Raw genomic sequence first — 11,048 nt, 5'->3', positions numbered from 1 at the left:
AGGTGGACAGGCACAGTGGGCAGGTGCCGAGTCCAGGAGTCTCCCGTCGCCTAAGGCCGCCCGAAAGCAGCTAATTGACTTCTTAAGGCTGGGCGGGACCTTCCGGCGGGCTGACTCCTAGCCTGTGGAGCGGCTCAGTCCACTTGCCTCAGTGGAACCGGGGGGAGGGGAGCTGGGGGCTACGAAGAGAAGGGTCGGAGGTCTCCCTGGAGGGTTCGGATCAACTAAGTACCTTATTTAATGCCCTGGGCCGGTGGTTCATGAAAAGAAGTTTACAGGAGCCCTGTGTGCATTTTCAGCCTAACCCTGCTTTTCCTTTAGGCCTAGAATTGTTTATTAAAATCTCCTGCAGGGCCGAGAGCCAGAGGACTCTAGCCCAGTGGTTCCTGTTTAGTCCACAGCAAAGAAGGGGCCGGTTGGAAGAACTCACAGCCCGCAGGCAGAAGCCTTATCTCCCAATTAAGGGTATAGAAGAATCTGGGCATGTTGCTGGTGGCTCATGCCTGTAATCCTAGCACTTTGGGAGGCTGAGGCAGGCAGATCACTTGAGCCCAGTAGTTCGAGACCAGCGTGGGCACCCTGGCGAAACCCCGTCTCTACTAAAAATACAAAAATTAGCCGAGTGCGGTGGCCTGCGCCTGTGGTCCCAGCTAGTCGGGAGGCTGAGGCACGAGCATCCCTTGAACCCGGAAGATCGAGGCTATAGTGAGCCGAGATCGCACCACTGCACTCCAGCCTGGGCGAGAGGAGACCCTGTCTCAAAAACAAAACAAAACAAAAAACAGCAAACAAAATACAACTGGTAGGAAAACGCACCCTCAAAACACATGATGAGATGGTCAAGACCAGACCCTAGGAGGGTGGGGACTGGCTGGGTGGGTATCCAGAGACCATGGGCGCTTCATAATGCATTGTTTCCAGTCTCCTCCACTCAGCGATTCTTCTTCCCCTGAAGTCTTGCATTAAGTAAGTGAATGAATCAATCATCAAGAGTTAATGAAGCTCTGACTTTGTACATATTGTCCTTTGCTTGGTACAGTTGGGGACTGCCTTAGAAACAATCTCCAGGTAACTTTTCCAACTGCTTTTGTGAGGCCCAGTTTTCCATTTTAAAATCTAAGATTAACTCAGTAATCTTGCTTTTACAGCAAGTGGGCATGGAGCCTGACGGATATATTTAAACTAAGTTATGGACAAGCTGCTTGGTGCATTAGATAGCACAGGAGATAACCTTGTGGGACATCCCACATTCGTAATATCCACCCCTAAGTCTATAATCAATAAATGCTTGTTTGGAGGCCATAGAAACTCTTCTCGAGATCTGACCTGTGTCTTCTGCCATCTACCTGATTTCTCCCCATAGAGTAGGAAAACACTGTGTAGGAGATACTGTGAATAGAAATATGAATATAGGCTGGGTGTGGTGGCTCACGTCTGTAATCCCAGCACTTTGGGAGGCCAAGGTGGGCGGATCACCTGAGTTCAGGAGTTTGAGACCAGCCTGGCCAACATGGCGAAACCCCGTCTCTACTAAAAATACAAAAATTAGCCAGGTGTGGTGGTGGGCGCCTGTAATCCCAGCTACTCAGGAGGCTGAGGTATGAGAATTGCTTGAACCCTGGGAGGTGGAAGTTGCAGTGAGTGAGATGGCACCATTGCACTCCAGCCTGGGCAACAGAGTGAGACTGTCTCAAAAAGAAAAAAAAAAAATTACAAAAATTAGCCAGGCACGGTGGTGGGCGCCTGTAATCCCAGCTACTCAGGAGGCTGAGGCAGGAACAACTGCTCAAACGTGGGAGGCAGAAGTTGCAGTGAACCAAGATCACACCACTGCACTCCAGCCTGGGCAACAAGATCAAAACTCCATCTCAAAACAAACAAACAAACAAATAAATAAACAAGAAGATGGATATGTTGATAGAAAAATAAAAGACATGAAATATACAACCTACAAAATAAAAATGATCAATAAACTCTAAAAAGTTTACCTCACTCATAAAAATAGAAATTAAAACAAAAAAGAGGTCTTTTTTCCACCAAACTGATGAAGTTGAAAAGACAATACTATCTTGTGTTTGCCAGAATAAATTAAAAAGAACCCTCTTATCACTGACGGTAAAAGTATAAATTTATGCAACCTTTCTGGAGGAAAACTTCAATATGTATAAAAAGATTTTTTACCCAGTAATTTAATTATTTGGAATTTCTGTTGAGAAAACAATCAGAGAATCATGTATTTATGACCTAGATTGTTAATCTCAGGTTGTTTTGTTTTTCAAAAAGTTAGGAGCCATCAAAAGGATAGTAAGGGAATATTATAAACAACTCTACACACATAAAATTGATAACTTAGATGAAATGGACTAACTTCTCAGAAAGCACAGTACTCTAACTCACCCAATATAAAATAGATAATTTGAAAGACTAGGTTCAGGGCTCAACTATTAGAAAATAGAATTCAAAAAAGAAATCTCCAGGCCCGGATGGTTTCACTAGAAAATTATACTAAATGTTCAAAGGTTATTCAATCTCTTCCAGAAAAGAGAAGAGGAAGGAACATTTTTCAATTCATTTTATAAAGTCAGCATTACTCTGATACAAAAACCAGACAATGATAGTAAAACTGACCCAATAATCTCATAGACTGTTCTTTCGGATAAACATAGAAACTGACCTTTCTGTTCTTAAAGCTTGAAGCTTACATTTGTTTTATATGAATTCCTTCCTCAGGAAAGGAACTTCAGACCTCTCAAAAAGAGTATTAGAGAACTGAAAGTCACCAGATCACCACATCCTGACAATGAGAAGCCTGGAGCCCTCATTCCTCATTATTGCTTCCTTTCCCCTCTCTAGTTCCTGTATTCTTGCACATTGTCACATTTCTTCTCTGTTATATAAACCTCTAGTTTTAGTCTGTCAGGGAGATGGATTTGAAACTGAGCTCCCCCATCTTCTCAGCTGCAGCACCCAATTAAAGCCTTCTTCCTTTGCAGTACTTATTGTCTTAGTGATTGGCTTTTTGTGTGGTAAGCAGCAAGGCCTAGACCAAACCCCTGGTGTTTTGGTAACAATAGTTCCAAAAAAACAAAAACAAAAGACTACTACAGACCGGCTGGGTGCGGTGGCTCACGCCTGTATTCCCAGCACTTTGGGAGGCCGAGGTGGGTGGATCACGAGGGCAGGAATTCAAGACCAGCCTGGCCAGTATGGTGAAACCCCATCTCTACTAAAAATACAAAAATTAGCCAGGCGTGGTGGTGAGTGCCTGTAATCCCAGCTACTTGGGAGGCTGAGGCAGGAGAATCGCTTGAACCCAGGAGGCGGAGGTTGCAGTGAGTCGAGACCGCACCACTGCACACCAGCCCGACAACAGAGCGAGACTCCATCTCAAAAAAAAAAAAAAAAAAAAGAATACCAAAGACCAAGATCCCTCATCAATAAATGAAAAAACCCTTAACAAAGTATTGAGAAGTAGAATTCAACAACACATAAGACAAATTATACACCATGACTGAGTGGGATTTATTCTGGTAATAGAAGGCTGGTCCGGTATTCAAAATCAGTCAGTGTAATCCACCATATCAACAGGCTAAAGAAGAAAAATCATATAATTATATCAATTGATGGAGAAAAACCACTTGAACAAATTCAAAACTCATTCATGACTTAAAAAAGAAACTCGCTGAAGTGGGAGGATCACTTGAGGCCAGAAGTTTGGGACCAGCCTGTGCAAAGTAAAAAGACCCTATCTAAAAAAAAAAAAAAAATTAGCCGGGTGCAGTGGCTCACATCTTAATCCCGGCACTTTGGGAGACCAAGGCGGGTGGATCACGAGATCAGAAGATTGAGACCATCCTGGCTAACACAGTGAAACCCCGTCTGTACTAAAAATACAAAAAATTAGCTGGGCATGGTGGCACACGCCTATCGTCCCAGCTACTTGGGAGGCTGAGGCAGGAGAATCACTTGAACCCAGGAGGCAGAGGTTGCAGTAAGCCGACATTGCGTGACTTCACTCCAGCCTGGGCAACAGAGCAAGACTCCATCCCCACCCCCCCCAAAAAAAAAATTAGCTGGAGAGGTGGGTGGTGGTGCATGTCTGTGGTCCCAGCTACTTGGGAGGCTGAGATGGGAGGATCGCTTGAGCCTAGGAGTTGGAGGCTGCAGCGAGCCATGATCACACCCCTGCACTCCAGGCAGAGCAACAGAGTAAGACCCTGTCTCTGAAAAAAAGAAAATCTTAGAAAACAAGAAATAGAGGAGGAGCTTACCTCAACCCTATCAAGTACATCTACAAAAATTTATAGCTAGCATTAGTATTTAATGGTGAAAGAGTGAATGCTTATCCTCTAAGATCAGGAGCAAAGCAAGGATGTCCTCCTTCACTACTGTTACTCAACATATGTAACCCTGGAAGTCATAGTCAGCACACTAAGGCAAAAAAAATAATGGAAGGGAAAAAGATTGGAAAGCAGGTAATAACATTGTCGTTCTTTGCAGATGTCATGATGATCTGTATAGGAAATCCCAAGGAATTTACAAACAAAAAACCAAAACACTCCCTAGAATGAGTGAGTTCAGCAAAGTCACAGGACACAAGATCAACATACAAAACCAACTGGATTTCTATATATTAGCAATAAACTAATTCATAATAGTAATTAAATTTAAAATATGTACTTTAATCACTTAAAAAATGAAATAGTATTATATAAATCTAAAAAACGTTTGTAGGATTCTTATGCTGAAAAGCACTACATGTATGCATGTATATATTTATGTGTGTGTATAAACTTGCATATATATGTATCTGTGTGTTTGTCTGTATTAATTAAATGCAATGATCATGGCCCAGATTGTGTTACATGGTGGGAAAACAGACATGAACAAGACGGAGTGGGTACCTCCCTTCAGGTTGCTTACAGTGTAGCTTGGAAGTCAGACACTAAACCCAAGAATGAAAATGTGTTGGGAGCTTCAAAGAAGTAGCCCTGGATGCTCATGGCATCAAGCACCTGGAATACCAAATCATGAGGTCAGAGCATAGGGGTGAGACCATTCAGATTTACAAGGCTTCTAACTCTACATCACCAGAATGTCCTCTAATTCTAGATATCTGGAGGAGAGAGGCTGATTGGGCCATTCTAGGTCAGGACTCTCTCTCCTACCCCATCAAGAGTGTGTGTGTGTGTGTGTGTGTGTGTGTGTGTGTGTGTGTCTGTGTGTTTGTGTGGTGGGAGGCGTGACTCAATATAAACGTAGCAGCTAAGAGTTCTAATTTTGGATAAGGGGGTGAGGAAGAACCATTTGCACTGGCTGGATGCACCAAAGGCTAGAAAAAAACTAGAAAGAGGACCAAGATTTAAAGAACCAGAGGAAGAGGAGCTGTGGGGAAGAGAAGCAAATGAGGAGCATCCACAGAGTCAGAGAGAAAGCAGAGTCAGGGCTTCCTGCTGTTGAGTGAGTTGTGCAGCTGTTCCAACTGCAGTAGATTGTTCATCTCAGGTTGTTTTTTTCTCAGAGTTCTCCCACTGAGCCATGAAGGTGACAGTGCTATGTGCCTCAGATAGCTGTTGAGTGTGCAGAGTGAGACGCTGCACCCTCCGCTCAGTGATCTGAGTTGTGACTATCATGGCTCAGGAGTGCAGCTTACGATTTTAGCATCTGGGAGTGCTTTTCTTGGCAGGCTGCAGACACATGCGTTTGGAAAATAGGAAGAAATCCAAAAATGGCCTTTGCCATAGCTCAGCTAGAATTGTCGGTAACGTGGCAACTCATTTTCTCTGGATAGATTTGTGGCAGCTTAAAATTCTAAGAACTGCACTTTCTTCAGTGGTTCAAGGAGATCTGAATCCCATGCCTCTGACAAAGGGTTCTCTCCTGAAACAATAACACACCGTGTTTCTCTCCTTTCTTCCACAGACCTCAGAGGACAAGCCTTCTGAAAGGGATGCCCTGCAGCCTGGCTGCAACATTGTGACCATAGTTTATACACTGTACAGTAGCACAACCCTGGTGGCTCTCTCCACAGGGCAAGGGGTGGACCTCTTCATGCTTGACTTGGTAGGTACAGAATATGGCAGCCTCTGGGCTTGGGGACTTGATGGGCCTCTGTGCTTTAATGCTAGTCCCCTGGGATAATTTCCTGGTCATTCCTAATACTTGTTTTTGGGGCCAGAGAGTCTGAAAACCTAGTTTTGGGAGCCAACGCCATCATCAGAAACCATGAAGGGCCTTTGTCCCAGTGAGGGAACCCGGGGTAGGGGTGTCCTGCAGAGTCAGTTGCATCAACTCAAGCCCTGTCCTTAAGGAGTTCATTTTTCAAAAATGCACTCGATCTCTTTGGTTTATGAGAACTCCATGATTTAAGAATCGTAATGCTGCGAATTTCCAGACAGAAGCATGAATGCTTTAGAGCAGCATCATCCCATAGAATGCTCTGTGAGTTTTGCTTTTAAATGCTGGATGCCTTGTTTATCACTTGTGAAATGCTTTGCCAAATACACTGAGGTCTTGTGAAAACTCAGATAATGTTGACCAATGACGACTTCAAAACCCCTTGTGTTCACTTAGATGAAAGGTCTGTATTTAAATTTAATTTAGATTTACAGATGTTATTGAGCATCTACTACATCCCAAAGCACCATTTCAGGCAGTGGAGATACAACATTGATCAAACACACATGCCAGCCCTTGTGGAGTTCACATGTCAGTTTGTATGTGGAGAGAGGGGGATTGCAAATTTCAAAATGAAACAGAGTTAACAAAACAGGGTTTGCAGTATGGAAATCCAGAAACTTTTCAAATCTTTTCACCTATAAACCCATTAGACCAAGGCCCACTGCTGTGTCAGTTTGCTAATGCCACAGTTTCCCTTTATTTTCAAAGAAGCTGGCAAACCCTCAGAAATTCTATGGCTTACACATATTACTCTCAGACAATAAATTGCCCTTTCTACAGTTGCTATAGAGTAACAGCTAACATAATTCTTAATAAGTTGTAGGAATGTAGGTACCTGTCCTAGGGAATTTACATCTATTAATGCATTTAAACATCACAGCAGCCCTGTGAGGTAGGTCCTACTATTATTCTCATTTTCAGATGGGGAAAGTGAGGCACATAGAGGGTGAGTAACTTGCCTGAGGTCAAGCTAGTGACTGGTGGTGTCAGGAGTCACACTCCGGCAATCTGTGCTTTAACTACTAAACCAGACCGAATTTCAAAAACAACTGCTCTTGAGTACAAGTAAAATATCTCCAAGAACATTCTGAGCAGTTCTAAAGGCAACGGGAGGTGCTTTGACTCAGGTACTCAACTCAAGGATTCCCAGGCAAAGACAGAGCCTCTGCTTTCTGCCCTCAGTCACGACAGCAGGGCCCAGTCTGGACATAGGTGGGCACGAGAGCTTGTCAGCATAACAGAAGGAAGAGATGAACCATAGCATAATCTTTCCTGATTTCTGTGTATTATCCTGAAACCCCTTTGGATCACATCACTCTACTATAAAGGACATTTGAGCAAAGACCCAGTGCACAAAGCTTAGTGCCTGTTTGGGATGTTGACGTCCAGTGGAGATAGCTTGTGGCAGTTGTCACAGATAGAAATGCCATGGAGGGCAGTCAGCAGTGATGGAGGCAGCATTCCCTGGTGGGTCAAACTCAGCCTGTGAGGTCTGTGGGTTTGCAGACCTGATGATTTGATTTTGTCAGAACACACATATTGTTCAGGCACAGAGAGACCACCTCCTGTTAACCAACTCCCCATTGTGGGATAAAGCTCAATGTCAAAGCATTCATTTACAGATTCTTTGTTTCTCAGTGACAAGGATCTGGTGCCCGATCATCAGGGACCCTCTTATCTGAGTGTATGAGAGCTCATATTAAAAATCAGCAGTTGGTGACCACACAATCAGAACAAAGGGGCATATTTTCCAGGTTAATAAAACTGTGGAAACAACATTCCAGGGGCCTGAGAGTCCCTGCCCCAGACCCAGGAGCGGATCAACCCAAGGCGTTTTCACCCACCCTGATGCAGAATGAGCTCCTCTGTTCAGGTGGAGAGTGAGTGCCGCTGTTTAAATGACAGCTGCGCATCTCCATGCTCTTTGCTGAAAAGCAAGAGCAAAATCGACCCCAGCTCAATTAAGTGAAAGGAGTTACTGCATTGATGGTGATACGAGAAGGGGGCAGGGAAATGCTGGGAGGAAAAGGGCAGGGTCCTTGGTGAGGGCTCCACCCCCGGGCCTGTGCCCACGGACCTAGGTGAGGACAGGCATTTCTGTTTCAGTGCCCAAATGTTGTATTTCTCAAGACCACCCTGGCCTGCCACGCCCCCATCCTGTGCCTATAAAAACCCCGAGACCCTGGCGGGCACGCACCCAAGCGGCTGGACTTCAAGAGGAACACGCCGGTGGAAGAACACACTGGCATCTGCCATCAGGCCATTGACCTGTGGATGGCGGAAGATAAGGCAGGGCGTATAATTGAGCTGACTAATGCAAGCCGCCTATGGACGGATGGCTAAACTGAAAGAGCACTCTGTAACACACGCCCCACTGGGGCTTCAGCTGTAAACATGCACACCTAGATGCTGCCATGGGGTCGGAGCCCCACAGCCTGCCTGTCTGCATGCTCCCCCTAGAGGTTTGAGCGGCGGGGCTCGGAAACAGCAAGCCACACCCCCATCACATGCCCTGCGAGGGGGATAAGGGAACTTTTCTCGTTTCATTGGGAAAGCAGAGGACCTTGGCTAGGAACGGGCAGGGCTAGAGGACCAGGAAGCAGAAAGCATGGCAGTAGTCCTGCAACACGGCCACTCTGTCCTGGACACCAACTCCAGTGCTGTGCCTGTCTCTCAGGTTTCAAATCCCATGGAGGGGTATATAATTTTTAAGCTAAGGCACGTGCCTGGCCTTGGTCTAGAAGAGGCCCAGATACGGATCTTTCTAGACTGACATCCCACTCTTTAAGGGATGTCAGGGCACTTTTCAGAAGTGGAACTCAAGGCTGGTCTGCTCCAAAGCAACAGATGTCCACAGAGAGTTAAAGCTCATGAGACAAAAACCATCACGTGCATGCCTGTAATAAAAAGAAGTTCGATTTACTGGGCAGGGGGAGTGCACTGCAGAGGAACCACGGGGTTTTGCTTGGTGATTCTAAAGAGGGTTTGAGGAACAGAGGGTCAGTCTGGATTGGATATTGCCTGGAAGTGGGTGCAATTAATGATTAGTTATCTTAATAATTTTTAGTTAGGAGCCAGGGAGATTAAAGTGAAGTCATTGGTAAAGAAGCAGTTGTCAGTCTTGTTAGCAGAAGAGAGGAATGTGTAGTTGTTGAGTCTCCTAGTCACCATCTTATTTCAGACATGGACAGCATGGCCTTCCTTCTTTATATTCTGGGAATATCTCTGATGTTCCTTGGGAAACTCTGGGCTAGCTGTTAGCTGTAAGCTGTCATTTTGGAGTTTCTCACTTTCTCAAAATCTTGAACATTAATCAAAATGAATCTGGTTTCAGGCCCTGACTTTACCCCTAGTGACTTAGAGAGACATCAGCATTTAAGGTGGTGTCTGTTGTGAGCTGATCACACTTTTAGTGACTGATGTCACCAGAACTAGATAAAGGGGTGTCTGAGGGATGCCCTGCAGGTATTGACCATGGTGGCTATAAGAGGGACTGGGCACAATTTTATTAATAAGTCTGAGGATTCCTTTAGATTTTGCCAACTTTTTCTTTATGCCAGGCGAACAGTTTCCAATTGAAAGAACCTCCTCTTTTCCCCGGGTAAGAGTAGTTGGGATACCAGAAACTTTTAATGGTTTCTGAGATTGAATCATTAACATAAACGAAATAACTGGACCACAAATTGTCAAAATGCATCCCTCACACATCAGTACAACTTCTCCTCTAATTGTTGATGGCCCAAGTCTTTCTGAAAACATTAATCTGGGGGTGAGAACTTGGGAGATAAACACAGTCATGTTCTTTATAAATAAGGAGCCTCCCTGACAGTAGAAATCACAAAGAAAAAGAAAGAAGACCATGGGCCTCTTCCCTTTGAATTGTCTTCCCTCTTGCTATGTTACTGCTTGAGCTTCCTTTGTGGGCTCCATATTGTCACTGTTCTTTCCACCACTCATAAAAACACCACGGGGCAGGCTCCAGAGTGACCACAGCTAGGCCCCAGCTCTGCCAGCTGTGGGCTTCTGTTTCCTGGCGTCTCTCTTCTTCCTGGCATCTCTCTTCATCTCTCTAGGCTCTTGGTGAATTTGTACTGGTGGAAAAAGATGTCAAGATTAGTAAGAAAGGAAAGATTTACAACCTGAATGAGGGCAATGCTAAGTATTTTGACAGGGCCGTCACCGAATATGTGCAGAAAAAGAAATTCCCTGAGGTGAGTGAAGAAAGCCCAGGTGGGTCGGAGGGAAAGTGTTGTCTCTATGGGGTCCTGTTTGGGTGGTGGCTTCAGGGGGCCTTGCTGAAAGAGGTTGGAGCCACTGTTCATAGTTCTGGACAGTATGAGAATGGCAGACTCTGCTTTTCTTCATAAGCAATCAGTATCTTTTATAGCTAAAATTTACATTCTAAAGGTAATACTTCCCTTTACATTTAAGTTGTTCCAGGAGAAATTGTTTGTAGCAAAAGTTAGGGATCACACTTGCAAAATTCAGAGCTCAGGCCAGAACCTTTCTTAAGTCATTTGTTTAATCTAAGCTCCAACCTGCAGATTCACTCACTCAGTTGCATTTGCTTTTCGAAGGAATAATTACACAAGAGAACTTCAAAAAGTTCATGGAAAAAAATGAAATTAAAATATAACAATAAAAAATACAAAATTTATTTCTCAACATAAGCTCCATTGAGCTCAAGACACTTTTGTAAGGGTTTATACCAGCCACTTAGTCCAACCCTAAACCCAAGGTCCTGGGAATTTAACCCTGCCAAGGCAGTCTTTTTTATGTTATTTGCTCAAGAAAAATGGATGCCCTTTAAAGGTTTTTTAATATTAGAAAACAAAAAGAAGCCAGAAGGAGCCAAATCAGGGCTGTAA

The 11,048-nt window shown here is 44.4% G+C and overlaps 1 pseudogene; it reads left to right on the top strand.

Annotated features, from left to right (window-relative positions):
• FBP2P1 (fructose-bisphosphatase 2 pseudogene 1) lies at window positions 5,921-10,398 on the top strand (annotated as a pseudogene).

Source organism: Homo sapiens, chromosome 9 (genome assembly GCF_000001405.40).
Source record: "Homo sapiens chromosome 9, GRCh38.p14 Primary Assembly".
NCBI lineage: Eukaryota > Metazoa > Chordata > Mammalia > Primates > Hominidae > Homo > Homo sapiens.
This window is presented reverse-complemented; position numbering and strand designations above follow the sequence as displayed.